Raw genomic sequence first — 17,121 nt, forward strand, 5'->3', positions numbered from 1 at the left:
TTGGGAGGGAGACGGGTTTCTTCCTTGGTCCTCCCACTCGCTCCTGTTTTTCAGGGCCCCTCCTCTCCCTGTGGAGCTCCAGTGAAGACCCCTCTCCAGGAGCCCCTAACCCCAGTTCCAGATAAACCTTCTGTTTTTCCTAAAACTGTCAGAACCCAGTTCTGGTGCGGAGGTAAGACAACTCAAAAACGTGTATTTGCCGTTTCTTTCTTTGAGAAATCTGTAATAGGCTAAGGAACAATTGATCAATATAAATAAAGTTTTAACGGTGGAATTTCAGGTATCAGCATAGATGGAGAAGAGACTTTCGTGCCTCTGACCCTCAAATTACCCAGCTCTCGGCTCTGCGTGGATTGGCGTGCCCGTTTACCTGAGAGGCCAGGTTCACATTTGGGAAGAAGAGATTTTCTCCCTCCGCAGCAGCAGCGCAGCCTGCACGAGGTTGCTGGGGGAAACAGACCGCTCTGTCTTTGGGGTCTTGATGGGTAGAGTGGTTTGCCAGAGAACCACCGAAGAGCCTTCCAGGGACTTCTAAGAGTGGGCACTTACTTCAGCCCTGGGAAATCTCTCCTCAGAGCCTGGCACAGGTTTTGGTATCAGCGGGGCCACGACAAATGTTCACTGAATGAGTAAATGAATGACATGGAATGTAGGAAACACGAAATAAAATGAACTGAGAAGATTTGCAGGGACTGGTTATTTTGTCCATCTCCAAACACAGAGGAAACACCCTGACTCCCCCTGGCCGCCTACAGGGGCCAATGGCAGTCAGTCCCCTGTGCTGAAGTGCCGGCTGTTTTCTAAGAGGCTGAAGGAGGGTATTTATAGTTCATGGGTAACAAGGAGAAACCACCTCTGGAGATCTCCTCCTCTCTCAGAAATCTTTGCGATGATATGAAGAGGGATGGTGTTTTGGGCCCGTGATGGGTGACGCCACCCCAGATTTGCAGATGAGACCCTTTTATGGGACAGGTGGGCACTGGTCAAATGACATTTATAAAGAATCTGGCCAATCATATCTTTTTTTTTTTGGCTCCTGGTTTTCATTACCACTCAGCATTTCCCACCTTTCCGACTGAAGCTCAGTCAATTAGCAGGGTCTAGCAGGGTCCCCGGCCTGGTGCCTGGGGTCCCTCTGCCTCTCAGCTTCCCGGGAAGTGGCTAATGAGTGCTGAGATACAAGAGGGGGAGTGTGACAGATGCTCTGTGGGGGTCGTCCTGCTGTGTGATGATCACGCCCTGAGACGCATTCGTAAATGTGGTCTTTCCTACGTTCAGGGTTTTTGTAATATTATTTGAAGGATGTACCAGCTTGTCACTGAGTGTGCCAGGGAACCACTGACCAGGGAAGTTTATTTGTGCTGTGTCACTAGGACTATGAGTAATAATAACAACAATAATAATGAAACAAAGGGAAGAAAACCCAGCAGGGGGCTGCCCTTGAGAGTGCCCTGAGGGACACACAGGAGGCCCTGGTGGGAGGCTGCCCCAAGGAAGCCTTGCATTCTAGGATGTCACAGCCTGCATCTGGCCTGTGCTTGGGAGGTGCCAGTGCAGCCACACTTTCCATTTCTGTCTCTTATTTTGGAGGTTGGCTTTGAGGGATGAGGACAAACGTGAGGAGCGAGAATTAGCAGGTTCAGATCAGGGGAAAAGCATGAACCGCAGATGGAATGGGGTGTGTGGTGGGCAGGGTTGGAGGCACCGCTGAGCGTGGGCAGAGAGGGGACAGGCTCCAGGGCTCTGCCTGCCACGTGGAGCCAGCACCTGCAGCTGTCCTGCGTCTGTCTCTCCTGCGTGGGTCGGCAGAGCAGCGTGGGCTCCCCCAGGCCAATTCCACCGCAGGGCTGAGCCCTGGGCCTCCCTGAGTCCGAGTCCGGGCAGCAGTTTTACCATAAAAGGCGCATTTAGCAAACACACCTCAGGGCCTGGACTCTGTGTCACAACTTCCTGAAGTGCACAGAGTGAGACACATCGTGGTGAATCGCTGGCCTCTCACTGCTCCCAGCAACCAGCAAAGCAAGTCACGGCAGCACATGGAGATGGATTTTCTGGGAGAAAGGCAGCCGCAGTGCTCTCTACTAGATGCCCTGAAAATCAATCTGCAGCCCACTCCAGCCTGGTAAAATTAGATCTAAAACTGGTTAATTTAGTTTCAGGAGTGTTTTCCCACCTGATGCCAGGCCTGAAGACACCATGCAGTAAAGCACCCTGAGCTACTGCCAGCCCGTGCTCCTCCTCTGGGTGGGGACAACGCAGTGCTCCATGGCACTGAGGGGCTGGTGCCCGGGACGAGATGGCACTGCTCCCCTCCCCACCTGGTCACTGAGAGCCTCCTTTTCATGCTGTTCTTCTGCGTTCCACACGGTTTGTAAAAAGGCGTGGCATGTGGATGGTTTTAATTTGCTTGAGTGGGAGGGCTTATGGCTTTGGAGTTGGAGCCCTGGGACAGCTGAATGTTCTAGAAAGCAGCTGTTTTGCAGCTAAGGCCTCAGCGACGGCTGAGTCAGGGAGGGCCGGGAACGACCTCAAGGCAGGAGGGAAGAAGGCCTGAGAATCATCACTGTCTCCACCGGAACCTTAACCGCTGGGGCCCCTGACCACGATTGGAAAACTGGAAAGAGCAAGCGCAGTATCAGAGAGTCCCAGGACCCCTCGCCAGGGCCCCAGCCTGGCATGAAATGGGATTACATGCCTCCCATTGTGTGTCCCGGCAGCCACAAACACCGTCAGGCCCAGCGTCACCCTCCCCACCTCCCGGATGAGAAGGAGCCTCCGGAGCAGCTGAGGGACCCACTGTGGAGGCAGCCGGGTGGGGGACGGCCCGGTGTGTGTGGTCTGGTCGTGACTTTCCCACAAGGCATCACCCATGGGAAGGAGGCGTGATGATGGTAAGCAGCACAGAGCCCTGCGGGGACCAGGGTTTTGGAACACCCCGGCCTTCGGTCATGCTGCGGGAAGCCTGGGTCCTCTCCCTGTCAGAGAAGACAGCTGGGTTCTGGGGTTTCACAGCACACGGGTACCCCCGGTTCCAGGACTGACCATGGAGGGCAGGTGCCAGCGCTGTTCGGGGCCTCCGGTGATGGTCCCAGCTCCCTTCCCACAAAGGCCAGGTGCAGCCTTGGAATCCTCTGACACTTGGATCCCCATGGATTCAATGGGAGCTCGCATGCTGTGAAGACCGCGGTGCATTTTAAACGGCACCAGCAAGGAGGCTACACTGTGTATCCCGTGTCCCCATTTCTACCGAAGAGCGGCGGCTTCACGGCGGTTTGGGAGTGGGGTCCAGGCTCTGTTCTGCAGAGTCCCTGTTTTTCTGTGAGCCTCACGCTCTCTAGAGGAGAATGAGCCACTGAGCAAGCAGTTTCTTGCTTGTCTTTAGAAAACTGCAGCGAGGCCTGGGGAGCGGTTCCCAAAGTGTGTTCTGCCAAACACAAACAGGTGCTAGTGCCCAGAGCATTTCCACGAGCGTGTACTTGTGGAGGGCTGAGTTCTACAGAATTAAGCAGATTTCTTTATGGAAGGGCTTCCCGGGGCTTGTAATGCACATTGTGCTGATACAATTTGAAAATCTCCAAAATGGAGTAAACACACAGCCTCTCTCATGACCTTGGAACTCGATTTTCATGAGCATCTCACGGAACTTCTGTTCCACGAGACAGACTGGAGAAGTGCTGACATCTGGGGTGTCATGAGGCCTGGCTAATGTCTTGGGAACTGCCCTGCAGACATTTCCTAAGTGAAGCAGCAGACAGACCTCATTTAGCCTGTGCTGAGCCCCAGGATGAGGGGTAGGGAAGGAAGGCTGTCTCATTCTGCTCTGGTCCAAAGTCAGTGTTTACGCGTGCGCGCGCCGGTCTGGCCAGGGGTAGGGCGCCTTCTAAAATCTACTTCTGAGCGATTTGCTCATCAACCGCTATTCTGCACACACACGTGGGGAGCCTGCCACGTGCCCACTCTGCTTTGCCTGGTGGGGTCGGGGGAGAATAGAACAGAGGGAGTTTCACTGAGAAAAAATGCTGTGTGGAATTGGTGCGTGGTTAGCATAAAGGAAGCCACTTAGCTCACACAGGCCTGGAAATGCGGGCTGGTGCAGTATGTCATTTACATCAAACTGTGAATTCTCAAATATGTGAATCAATCAAAGACGGCTGATGGAGGGGCTCAGCCAATGGCGCACACTGTCATCGAGTCGGAGGCGGCCCCACTTCAGTGGAGAGTCATCCTGCCTTCCTCGCCATCAGCTCCCATCTCCTTCTGGTCAGAGGAAGCCTCCTCCCTGGGGCCACCCCTCCTGCCCCGCAGCTTCCTGAGTGGATGAGGCTGACCCCTCAGCTCCAACGGGGGCTCTGATTAACCTGATCAGCATAAACCTACTCTCCTGGCAAAAAGGGACTCCACAATTTGCAGTGTCCAGTGTAAAACAGAAATGTTCGAAAATCACTAAGAATTTCAAGATGGCGCCAGCAGAGCATGAAGCTGAGGCCGGGACCTTCCAAGTGGAACTGGGCCGGCTCCTGCCCCACGCCCAGATGCCACCCTCCTCCCTGGTGTTTGTTCCGTGAGGGGCACAGGACTCAGCTCAGGGCGGCGGAAGTCCGTCTTCCTGCTGGGGCAGGTGCGCTCGTGCGCCTGGAGCTCTGCTGGGTCCTGCAGGCACCGTGTGCGGCTCTCGTGGAAGCAGCCGGAGGTGGGGATGGAGAAAGGCCGGCTGCTGCCTCCACTGGACCCTGACCCCAGCCGCTGCTCAACTCGTTTTTTCTTTTCTGAGCCAGCCGCTGCTCAACTTTTCAGTTCCAAGAGCCAAGATTGTGCCTTCTAACACTTGCAACCAAAGAGGTCCTGATTCGTACAACCCTTGTGACCAAATATCTCAAGCGTCTTCTCTGGGCTTGGAGTCCCCCATGTGTAAAGGGGCAATCACGATGTCTCTTTCAGTCATTGCGGGGGCCCTATCTGGGTCGTCACTCACACCCCGATGCAGGAGCAAGGCTAAGCTTGGTCCTGGTCAGGTGTGGACTGTGCTCCTTGAAATTATATATACGTTTTTTAAGGGCTTTTGCTACTTTTGTCAGTGAGAGCCATTCTCATTTATTCCTGCCTTATTCATGCCAGAATGAACCAACTTAGGCAGCAGCTCTGGGTGAGCTAACGGGGAAGCCACTTCGACAAGCTCAGAGCTTGCACTCCACGTGAGGGGCCCGGCAGCTGCCCACTCTGAGGGAGGGCACCGTGGCCCCGGGCGTAGCTGATCTGCAGACCCCCTAGCTGTCATTCTCAGAGCTGCAGCCTGGGACCCACTCGGCCTGCAGCAAGGACAAGTTCCTCTGTAACCCACAGGCTTTCTCATGCAATGCAGTATTGGAGGCACGTCCCTCCCAGTCTCCTGTTGCCCCTAAATCTGCTTTCATTCATCATTGTAGTGCTCCTACAGTCCCCACGTCCTAGCCTCCCCTGCTCCTGCCTCCCCGATTGGAGGCAGTTAGAGCACACCTGTGTCATCTGGGTGTGTCTGCAGGGCACTGTCCTGTGAATATCAACCAGGCCAGTAGTTGTGGGGAGCGACATTGCACCCCAGGGTCACCAGCCACCCCCCATCCACTCTCAGCAAGCCAGGGTCAGGGGCTTCCTGTGGTGCAGGGGCTTCTGTGTCCCCACAGCTGGAAAGCTCTAGGCCAACAAAGATGAAACAGCTCCCAGCGCAGGGCCCCTGCCACCTAGGTGCTTTCCTAAAGATGAGCTCTAGAGGCCAAGCTGCTTACTTAGTTAAAACAAGCGTTTTGGCTCAGAAGGAGCAGGAGAAGCTGCTGCCAGGAGCTCTATGCTTGGCCATGAGAGCAGGACACAGGGAAGGGCATGGAACGGCTCACGGGGGACCTCGGGAGATGCCCAGGCTGGTCTCGCAGGCCCTACCACTGGGGACCTGATGGGGCTAAGCATCTCCCCTTGGCAGGTGCTGAGATGCCCCTCAGTGCCCAGCACAAATAATTCTGCAGAGATGCTGCCCATTTGCCGGCTGCCATCCAGCAGACGCCAGGGAGACGCTGCGTGGTGATGAGTGCGCAAGAACCAGCGTGGGCTCCACTCCTCCCGCCTGTGCCCTGAAAAAAGTGTGTCATTGTGTCACTTGATTTTCTCAGTGACAACCATGTGGGGCTCTGCAGGTAGAAAAGTGACCACTTGTGTCAGGCACTGAGCTGAGCTGAATCCAAATTCAGCAAAACCTCTCCTCTCTGGTGCCTGGCGAGTCTCTTAAAGCTGCTCAGAGACCTGTAAGCTCGCCGGCTTCGGGGCAAGTTCCTTCCGTTTGACCGGCCAACAGTGACATTCGTGGACCCAAAGGACCCTGGACAGACCCCTGAGGGAAAGTGATGGGCAATTGTTTTGAACTCTCCAAAAGGGAGCTGGAACAGAATATATTAGGAGCAACTTTCCCATCCCAGCGAGACTTGGGTGAATTCCCCGGGAGCTCACGCTTTCTACATTGGTCCTTTTCGTTAGATTGTTTAAGGACACGCAGCTTGTTAAAGCAGCAGGACCCTGTGTCCCTTTATGTGCAAATTAAATCTCAGGTCGATGCCTCCTACATACAATTCCCGGCGCCTGCGTGGAGGATCGTTGCGTCTTCAGAAACTGCTCCCAGCTCCGAGGGCTCCCAGAGCCTGTGGGGTCATGCGGGGGCCCAGCTGACAAACCACAGAGGTAACGGGGCAGAGGTAACGCTGCCCAGGCCCCATTATGCATGTTGATCCTGTGCCAGATGCAGTAAGAGGCTCAGTGCTAAGGAGAATTCACATTTACCACACCTTGACTGTGTTCCAAAAACTCATGAAGCATTCATTGATTTAGACATGTTCCCTCAACCACTGCTCGTGGGGTCTTCTGAGCTACCTACAATTACTCTCCTTCCAATCTTGAGCTTCAATTTGCTGAAACTCAGGCTGGCTCTAGCGCCTCCACAAAATGAGAGATCTCCAGAAATAAGGGTTCAAGATTCAATGTGGTCAGGAGTTCGGGACCAGCCTGGCCAACGTGGCAAAACCCTGTCTCTACTAAAAATACAAAAATTAGCCAGAGGTGATGGTAGGGGCCTGTAATCCCAGCTACTCAGGAGGCTGAGGCAGGAGAAACACTTGAACCTGGGAGGCAGAGAGGTTGCAGTGAGCAGAGATCGCACCACTGCACTCCAGCCTGGAAGAGTGTGAGATTCAGTCTCAAAAAAAAAAAAAAAAAAAAAAAATTTAAGATGTTTCTTGGGAAATGTACCAGAATCCACCCACATCTTTACAATGTATGTTGAAGCCTCTAAGAAGCTGTGCACCAAGATACACCCATTTATTAAACCCCCTAGATACACCTGTTTATTAAACCCTTCGCCAAGATGCACCCATTTATTAAATCCTTCTCCAAGATACACCTGTTTATTAAACCTTCCGCCAAGATACACCCATTTATGAAACCCTTCGCCATGATGCACCTGTTTATTAAACCCTTCCCCTAGATACACCCGTTTATTAAACCCTTCGCCAAGATACACCTGTTTATTAAACCCTTCTCCAAGGTACACCCATTTCTTAAATCCTTCCCCTGGATACACCCATTTATTAAACCCTTCGCCAAGATACACCCATTTATTAAACCATTTGCCTAGATACACCTGTTTATTACACCCTTCACCTGTAGACTTGGGCTATGTGTTATTCTTTTTAAAATCTCCAGCCATGGTGGAGGTGTGGATTTTCACTGCGATGAGCTTGCTGAAGGATCTGTGGATTGCAATGTCACCCTGGCCCTCACCCAGCTGCTCTCCTTGCAGGTCTGGTTAGCCCAGGGCCTGCTTCCTTCTGTGTGTGGGCCCTCCCCAGGGGCTCAGGCAGGGAGCTGAAGGACACACCTCACTCTCAGGACACTTGCTGTCTGTGATCACCTTGCCAAGGTACCTGCTTTCCATCCAGCTCTAAAGCCGTGTGGGCTCGGTACCCGGGAAGGAGAGAGTGGCCTGGGGGACCTCGTGGAAGGCTGGAGGGGTCACTGAAGCCCACAGAGGATCACCTCCTAAAGTGTCTCCTTTCTTCTTCATCTCTGTGGCTTCCCTACCTGGGGACCACTGGTCGCTAGAAATAAACTTGGCCTTGACTTTCCCTCCTATGGGTTGATGGGTCTTTCAAACTTTGGTGGAACTCCCAGACAATTTAATTTTGGGCTGTGTTGGCTAGGGATGTTCCCTTTTCCCAGGTTGTCTGAAATAAAGAAGGCTTTGGCGGGGGAGCCCTGGCACCCCTTGTGACTGCTGTGAAGGTGAGTGCCAGGGTGGATCTGGGGCTGCCCACGGGTTCGATGACACCAACGCCCTTTCCCCCATTGTCAACCCCCTGGCCCTGCAGTTGGGGCCCTGATTCCTGCACGTCCCAGGACTGGACGAGGATTGCCGGCTTTCCTACTTCACAGATGATGAATGGGGGGAGTGGCCACAGCTTGCAGGAAAAGAGGAGGAGCTTATGCCCCCCTCGCCAGAAGCAGCCCATCCCCATCCTCCCCAGAAGCAGCCTTCCTTGGGATGGCCAGGGACGCTGGTGATCTGGGCCCTGGGGGATGCGTCTCCTCCTTTGGCTGTGCGGCTGCATAAAGCAGGCATCCATAAAGCCCACTTATTTTTACGACCTTGCATTAAATTAAATGTGTTATTTTATGCAGGTGCTTACAAAGTCCACTGAGTAGCCTCTGATGGCTCCCTGGTTCCCTGACACAGTGGCAGGACTGGCACAGACCGAGCGGACCCCATACTGATTTGCTGTTCTCGGGACAGCACAGGAACAGCCGGGCAGCACCACTGACTCCTGGGAAGCAGGACGATGACCTGCAGTCACCTGCAGCTCCTGTGCTGTCCTCTGTCTTCTACAAGTGCCATTGGAAGGGGTCCCGGGTCCGACGTCTCCGGCGTCCTTCTGAGCCACTGCTACTCCTGAAGAGGGTACAACGGCCGGGGTGGGGTCTCTGGCTTAACCCCTGGCGGTGGTCCCATTGGTGACCCACTGGCCTTTTTCTCTGCAGGGCTAGGCTGCCCTTAAAAAATGGTTTCAGGTTGAGAGAGACTCAGAGGCTTGGGGAAGTTGACGGTAGGGGGCAGGGAGTCATTGCTTCCTGGGGCCTCAGCCTGCATTCTGTTGGATTATGCCTCAGCCCAGGAGTCCCGGCTGCCCTTCCTCGGGGCATAGTCCTAGCCCAGCACTGGCAGAGACGATCTTCCTGGGGCTTCTGAGAATTCAAGATCCTGGCATCAGATGAGTGACGGTGTTCTGAGAGAGCTCAACCTGCTTCCCAAGGTGGTGCCCTCCCCCACCTCCAGGATGGAAGATTCTCCCGAGCATGTCCTGGGGGTTGCTCTCGCCCGGCCTCCATCCCCAGGCCCTCCTTCCCCTCTGCATGACTGTTCTGTGGGGGGAACTGGGCAGACAGACCCAAAGCCTCCCAGCAGAAGAGAGAAGTGAGGAGGCTGGAGGCCAATGCTTTCTTTGACTCTAAAATGAATTATCTCAGTATTATAGAAAATATAAAAATATACAATAATATTTAAAAAGGAAATTGCATTGTCACACACCCCACCTTCCAAGGGCTCACACTGTTAATTATTTTGCAGAATATTTTATACTGTCTTAGCTTGAGAGGCAAGATATTAGACGAATAGAAATTGGATTTAATTTGTAAATATGGGTGCATGCATCCTTCTTAATGAAGCTGAGATCATGCTTTACATGGTTTGGCAATCCCCTTTCCCATTTAATATTACATTGTGAACATTTTTCATTATCTAAAATATTCTTTAAAACACGAGTTAAAATGTCTACATAACACATTCCAATGAAAATATATCCCACAGCATGGTCGACCATTCCCAGATTGCTGGATATACAGGGAGCATCAGTGTTTTTAGATATTGTGTAGATACGTGCTCACATGTGATATGCATATTATTAAGGATGCTGCACTGAACATCTTTACACATGAGTCTTGAACCACATCTATGATGATCTTTCAGTTCACACTCTTAGAAATGCAATAGCTGAGCGAAAGGGAGTCAAGAATGTCAGGGCTCTCGATTTCCAAAATCAAATTAGTTTTACAGTCACACCGAGTCCCAGGGCCACCCGTCCAGCATGAATATGCCCATCTCACTCAACCCTTGCCAGCCGTGAGTGCAATTTTAAAAGCTTGCTGCCCGTCGGAAACCAGAAAGTCACCCTATGGCTTTGACCTGTCCTTGTTGGTAACCAGGGAGGCTCGGCTGTTGTGTGTCTTGGTGAGCCTGTGTGAATCCTTTGTTCACTGGGCTCTGGATTTCACTTGCCTCCCAGCCTCTGTGGACTGAGAGAGACCACGGCCACACACTGGTAGCTGGGAATTGTGTCTGCACCAGCACACAGGGAGTGGCCTGGGTCTTGCTCTGTCTGCCTGGGACCCAACGCCTGCTGCAGGCTCAGAGGATGAGGGTGGCCGCGGCTCCTCACCCACTGTGGCTGCAGCTGGGCTGGCCGGGTTGTGTTCCAGAGCTGCTGGCTCCGTGGTGGTGGCGTCAGTGATTGCAGAGGAGGCTGGGCCGGCTGTGCTGCTCTCTGGGGAGACCTAATGAGCTCCTGCTCACTCCTCAGGCTGATGCCCATGTCTCAGTCTACCCTGGACCCTTGGACATGCTCTGTTCACACCACATACCCCTGAAGCACGCTTGGCCCACGGAGCCCCCGCATCCAGCCCGGGGCAGGTATCTCTGCCTTCCTCGACCCGCCCTGCCTGACAGCGGGCTCCCACCTTCGTCGCCCCGCCCTGCCTGACAGCGGGCTCCCACCTTCGTCGCCCCGCCCTGCCTGACGGCGGGCTCCCACTTCGTCAGTGCATTCTGCAAACTTGACTTGACCTGCAGCCAAACAGAGAATTTTTCTCTTTTCAGATGTTTCATCTCTGTGGCCACCTGAACCCCATCTGCGTGGGGCGTGTGGCTTGGCCATCGCTGTGGCAACGGATTCTCAGTGGTGCTGAGGCCTGGTCGTGGTCATGGTGCTAAGGCCTGGCCGTGGTCATGGGGAAGGATTCTCAGTGGTGCCGAGGCCTGGCCGTGGTCATGAGGAAGGATTCTCAGTGGTGCCGAGGCCTGGCCGTGGTCATAGGGAAGGATTCTCAGTGTGCCGAGGCCTGGCTGTGGTCATAGGGAATGATTGTCAGTGGTGCCGAGGCCTGGCTGTGGTCATGGTGCCGAGGCCTGGCCACGGTCATGGGGAAGGATTCTCAGTGGTGCTGAGGCGTGGCTGTGGTCATGAGGAAGGATTCTCAGTGGTGCCGAGGCCTGGTCGTGGTCATAGGGAATGACTGACAGTGGTGCTGAGGCCTGGCCGTGGTCATAGGGAAGGATTCTCAGTGGTGCTGAGGCCTGGCCGTGGTCACAGGGAATGATCCTCATTGGTGCTGAGGCCTGGCTGTGGTCATAGGGAAGGATTCTCAGTGGTGCCGAGGCCTGGCTGTGGTCATAGGGAAGGATTCTCAGTGGTGCCGAGGCCTGGCTGTGGTCATAGGGAAGGATTCTCAGTGGTGCTGAGGCCTGGCTGTGGTCATAGGGAAGGATTCTCAGTGGTGCCGAGGCCTGGCTGTGGTCATAGGGAAGGATTCTCAGTGGTGCTGAGGCCTGGCTGTGGTCATGGTGCTGAGGCCTGGCCGTGGTCATAGGGAATGATTGTCAGTGGTGCCAAGGCCTGGCTGTGGTCATGGTGCCGAGGCCTGGTCGTGGTCATGGGGAAGGATTCCCAGTGGTGCCGGGGCCTGGCCGTGGTCATGGGGAAGGATTGTCAGTGGTGCCGAGGCCTGGCCGTGGTCATGGGGAAGGATTCTCAGTGGTGCTGAGGCCTGGCCGTGGTCATAGGGAAGGATTGTCAGTGGTGCTGAGGCCTGGCTGTGGTCATGGGGAAGGATTCTCCTCGCTGCTGCCACGAGCACAGTATCAGGGATGGAAAGGTTTGGGCCAGAGGACTTCTCAGGCTGAGATAATGTAATCTCATTTCCTGAGAGCAAAATAACAAAACAAGGAGTGATGTATTCCCTTCTCCAGGCGGGCAGACAACAGAGATGTCAATTAAATCTAAAGGCCTGCTCCTATTCAGCAGAAAATGGCTGCTGCTCTAGAAATATTACGACGTTAAAAGGAGATCACTGGAGTCTACATAACTGTTGATGGTGTAGCATCTGCTCCAACTGCCTCTCCTCGGTGTCTGCCACAGCGGCTGCGGTGGTTTTCCTGTTTGAAGACCCCCTGTCCTCCTTCACTTTCAGGGTCAGCCAGTCTGTGCTTTGATTCACCACGGGGATGAGCAGGAATCGTCGGTGCAATTTTACCTGCGTAAACAAGCGAACCTTCTTCCACTGAGCTTCTGCCTTGAGACGTCTGTGAGTGCCGCCTGATCACTTGGTGAGCAGCTGTTTCAGCTGCCCGGATGGAGGGCAGTCCAGTCAGTTACGGCCTCTCCCTCTCCCGAGCTGCGCCCTGTCCTCCTGGAGGCGAAGGGCTGAGTCTCAGATCCCGGACTTTGGTGCAGAGCAGGAAGACCTGTCCTTGGTCTGCTCCATGCTGTGCTGGTGTCTGCGCTCCTCCCTCAGGGCGCCTGCAGGGAAACTGCATCCTGCTCTCCTCTCTGCAGCCTTTGGGACCAGGGCACGGCCATCCAGACACGGCCTTAGCTTCCTTGTCTCTCCTGGGCCAGGTGGGCAGGTGAGATGCCTCCCCAGCCTCCGTGGGCCTAGAGAATCTCAGGGGCCTGGTTCAGGCCTTCTGCACCTGTCTGCTCCAGGCTGCATGGTGGCTGAGGCACAGGTGCGTCCGTGAGGCTGCGGGGCAACCCTGGCTTCGGGGGAACACAGTGCTGCTCCTTCAAGTGCACCGGAGGCTCCGTCGTTAGCCCACCCGTCCCCACCAGCCCAGGGCGGGACCAGCCCACAGCACCACGTCCTCTCCAGGCCACCAGTGGGAGGTTCAGGAGAAACCAGGGCTTCCAGAAGCAATGTTCTCCTAACTCTTACCCAAGTTACTGCTGGACCCAAGATTCTGTGAACCCAAAGCGGGAATTTGAAGCTTTTTCCTCCTCAGGTGACTTTCTGACTGTATCCCTGGGCCAGGTTAGCTTCACTAAAGCGACAGGCACCACAGATGTGGTCCTGGGTGGGTGGTGGGGACGGGCGGTCCGTGCTGAGTGGACACGTTGCAGCAACACCACAGAGACCCCACAGTGTGTCGGGTGTGAGCTCCGCCGGCAAGAAGCGGATCGAACCATCCGTGCAAGGCCACTGTAGGTGCTTCCTGAAACGCCATTTACGAAGGTCGTAGACGCAAGTGCCTGACCTACAGCAAGTGCCCCTCAGCGCTTGATAAATACACACAGTTCTGCAGCAAAAGCTATTTTGTTTCTCTGCATTTTCAACCAAAATTTGAAAGACATTGCTTTCAGCTAGCAGTATAGATTTCTATACATAAAGACCTGAAAACTGCTATTTAAAACAGCCTTTACTCAGAGTGGACTTAGAAACGACGCATCAGGCTGAGAGGAGCAGAGAGGCCTGATGTGTTCATTCCCTTCTTGCCCCGGTCAAGTTATCAGGAATTTGAGGAGAGTGCTTGTCTTCCGAGAAATTCTCAGACTTCAGGGCATGCGTTGGGGAAGGATGTGGTCAAGATGTCTGTGCCTTGTCAAGGGCCCTTTTCTCCGCTGAGCTGAGGCTCGGGACGATGCTGGACGGGTTCGGAGCGTGCTGCATCCTGCGAGCCCGGAGACCTCGGGGCTGGTTAGAGGATGGCTCAGTTCCCAGGAAACCCTCGGGTCTTTAAAAGGAAGTCGCAAACCCTGTTAAAGAGCTGGACTTCTTTTGTCTGTTTACTGTATCGCCTTGAAGTCTTTACTGAACAGTTGATTAAAAGATGTGTTTTTTTTTTGAACAAATAATTTAAAAAATTTATAAATCCATGTTTAAATGAAACCTGGGCTTTAGCTATGTGAGGTTGTGACTTTATTATTATTATTATTTTTGCTTTTAAAATAGTTCTCTATTTTATTTTAAAGCAATTATATCCATACATTCAAAAAAGTCCAAAACAGCAGAAAATATTTCCTTTGAGCCAACGCATAAAGCACAAAATAATCCTCATATCTGCCAGAGGATGGGCCGGACCGCGTTTCAGGTAATCAACTCAGGAGCAACTGAAGGCTTCCGAGGGTAATGGACCACGTAATGAGTCAATTTGTGGTTGCCAGGTGCATCCCTGCTCAGACCTGGGCGGGGCAGGTGGGTGTGGGGGCACGGCTTTCGGGGCTCATCCTCCCGCACCACCTGTGGGAAGCTACGTTGCTTCTCTACGTCTCAATTTTCTCCTCTTTACTATAAAAATAGCAGCTACCTCATAGAATTGTCTTGAATATCAAATAAGGAAATCCACCCGCAGTGTTTTTGTGACTTTAACGTAGGTTCCTTTTCCTTGGTTCATTTCCCTGCTGGTCCCCAGCCGCCCACCCTAATGGAGAGGGGTCTTGCCCACTGCCTCAGGGCTGGCGGGAGGGTGGATGGGCCCTCGGGCTGTGGGCTCCATGGGGATTTGGGCATGGCTGCTTCTCAGCAGAGGAGCCACAGGAGCTTGGCAGAGCCCAGCCATGCATACTCTAGAATGGTCTAGAACGGTCTGCAGGCAGGAGACGGGTGTTAGAATCCACCCAGGTGGCTGACAGCCTAGGAACCACTTGAGCAGTTGTTGTATGGTGAGGGCGCAGGGCCCAGCCAGGGCAGCAGGGGTCCCAGTGAGAACATGAGTGGGAGATGGTGCAGGAAGGGGGTCCCCAGCCAATGTCCCAGCCCCAATCCCGACACTGACACAGCACTGGGGAAGGGGGTGCTCTGTGGTTAGAAACGGCGTCGGGTCTCGCAGAATGGAGGCAGAGTTCCAGAGCAGGAAAGTCTATTTCATCATGCCCAAGCTCTCGGTCTTGAATTCACACAAAAAACATGTGGGTCCTAACAGTGACCCAGCCAATGTCAGCAATGGCTTGTGTAACTGGAATACCATAAATTACAGCTGAAGTGCACACAGCCTGTGTCGTGCACCTGCTCGGGTCTAACCATCTTATGAAAGGGTCCTCCTATCGGCCCTGTTTTGCAGAGAAGAAACCTGGACACAGGAAGCGCAGCCGTGAACCCTAGGGCAGGGAAGCCAAGATTCTCACTCAGGCCCTGCCCCTGGGGCCGGGCCTTCTGTTCTGCCCAGCGACCTCTCAGCCTCACCTTGAGAATCTTACAGACTGAGCGCTGATGATGCTCCCGGGCACAATGACAAATTCATCGTTTTAATTTTTTGGTCAAAACCCAAATAATCTTTAGTAAAAACCGATTTGTAAATTATGCATCCATTCTGCCATGATGGATAGAAAAGTTTTGCGATACCCAGTGAACACTGGGGATGAGTTCAGTTAAGCAGGTAAAGAAATCCTTGTCTTGCAATTGCAGGTCTCACGGTGATGTCCTCTCAGTGAAGCCCAAAAAACAATGTGTGCTCGCTGGGTGCCAGACCCACATCAGGGGCTCTATTCGTTCTTCAGACGCTGTTCAGGTCCCACTCCCTGGAAGCCTCCCTGATACTCCTTTCCTCACCAGCTCGGCTCAGGGGGCTGCCCTGCACAGCCATGGCCTCCAGCCAGTTATCCTCACTGTCCTGGAATTGCTCAACCTACCCCCAACCCAGGCTTCGTTTCCTTGATGGGGGGAATACAGTAAGCACTTAGCTGATGGGCAGATTATTGGGAAAAGCTGAGTGTCGGGAGAAGCTGAGGCAGTGCTTGCATGTCTGACATAATGTAAAAGAGTCTTAGAACATGTCTGGTGGCCAGGGTCTAAAACCCCTTGTGGTCTTTGGAACACCAAGCTCTGTGCTAAAGGGTGGAAGGCTACCCTGACGTACCGTAATCTAAGCCCAGGGCATAAAATCCCTCGTGGCTTGGATAGAATCCAGGGCTCGTGGCTCTGGAATGTGTCTAGACTTGCTGACTCCTTGCTCCTTGCTCTCCCAGGATCGATTATATCTTGAGTGAAAAGAACCTGCTCTCCATTATCTCAGGTAGCAGAGCAAATGCTAAACTGTCACAGCTGTAAATCACGTGCTTAATGCAACATGCCCTTTCAACCTCCACATTCTCATCACCTGTTTCTTTGTTGGATTACCAATAAATAGCATGTGCTCCCAGAGCTTGGGGCCTTTGCAGCCTCCATGATCACGATGGCCCCTGGTCCCACCTTTACTTCTCAAACTGTCTTTTTCTCAATCCTTTGACTCCACTGGACTTTGTCACCCCCATGACCTGGTGTTGGGTCTGATCACCCCAACACAGATGGACAGAAGGATGGATAGAGAGACAGCTGGCTAGGTGGATGATGGGGGCTGGATGAGTGGCTCATGGATGGTTAGATAGATGGATAAAGGAATGGTGAATGAATGGATAGATAGGTGGATGGATGGATGGTGGATGGGTGGGTGGCTATATGGTGAATGGATAGGATGATAGAAGGTGGATGGATGGATGGATGGATGGATAGATGGATGATAGATGGATGGATGGATTGGGGAATGTTTGGGTGGATCATGGGTGGGTGGATGGATGGTGGACCAATGGATGGATGGTGAATGGATGGGCAGAGGGATGATGGGTAGATGGGTGGATGTATGGTGGATGGATATAAGGATGGGTATATGTATAGATGGGTGGGTGAACAGATGGTGGATGGATGGGTGGATGGGTGGATGGATGGGAAGATAGATGGGTACAAGGGTACATGAGTGGTTAGATGCTGGATGGCTGGGTGGGTATATGACGATAGAATGGGCAGATAAATGGTGAAATGGATGGATGGATGGATGGTGGGATGGATGGGTGGATCATGGATAGATGGGTGGATATAAGAAAGGGTATATGGAGAGATGCATAGATGAGTGGATGAATAGATGGTGGATGAATGGATGACAGATGAGTTGATGAGTGGATGGATGAATGGATGATTGATACATGAGTTGGCCAGATAAACACGACACCTCTTCCGCATGGTAAGAAATAT

The 17,121-nt window shown here is 53.3% G+C and overlaps 1 protein-coding gene and 1 long non-coding RNA gene across 2 annotated transcripts in view, besides 3 other annotated features; one reads left to right on the forward strand and one right to left on the reverse strand.

Moving 5' to 3' along the window:
* ADARB2 (adenosine deaminase RNA specific B2 (inactive)) overlaps positions 1 to 17,121 on the reverse strand; it is a 560,213-nt gene that overhangs the window by 221,101 nt on the left and 321,991 nt on the right. The gene's annotated exons all lie outside the window — the stretch shown is intronic.
* Positions 8,069 to 12,799, forward strand: LOC124902364 (uncharacterized). The gene is made up of 3 exons (XR_007062032.1): positions 8,069 to 8,298; positions 8,695 to 8,971; positions 12,313 to 12,799. It is a non-coding gene; the product is annotated as an uncharacterized LOC124902364 (long non-coding RNA).
* Positions 8,811 to 9,395: an enhancer, noted in NCBI's record as "H3K4me1 hESC enhancer chr10:1449419-1450003 (GRCh37/hg19 assembly coordinates)". NCBI's record gives its function as "activates a minimal SCP1, AML or CMV promoter by ChIP-STARR-seq in primed H9 embryonic stem cells {active_cell/tissue: H9 hESC(primed)}" and the evidence as "EXISTENCE:reporter gene assay evidence [ECO:0000049][PMID:30033119]".
* Positions 11,075 to 12,274: an enhancer, noted in NCBI's record as "MED14-independent group 3 enhancer chr10:1451683-1452882 (GRCh37/hg19 assembly coordinates)". NCBI's record gives its function as "activates an origin of replication core promoter dependent on BRD2, BRD4, P300/CBP and CDK7 cofactors, and independent of MED14, by STARR-seq in HCT116 cells {active_cell/tissue: HCT116}" and the evidence as "EXISTENCE:reporter gene assay evidence [ECO:0000049][PMID:35650434]".
* Positions 11,253 to 12,202: an enhancer, noted in NCBI's record as "H3K4me1 hESC enhancer chr10:1451861-1452810 (GRCh37/hg19 assembly coordinates)". NCBI's record gives its function as "activates a minimal SCP1, AML or CMV promoter by ChIP-STARR-seq in naive H9 embryonic stem cells {active_cell/tissue: H9 hESC(naive)}" and the evidence as "EXISTENCE:reporter gene assay evidence [ECO:0000049][PMID:30033119]".

This window comes from Homo sapiens, chromosome 10 (assembly GCF_000001405.40).
Source record: "Homo sapiens chromosome 10, GRCh38.p14 Primary Assembly".
Taxonomy (NCBI): Eukaryota; Metazoa; Chordata; class Mammalia; order Primates; family Hominidae; genus Homo; species Homo sapiens.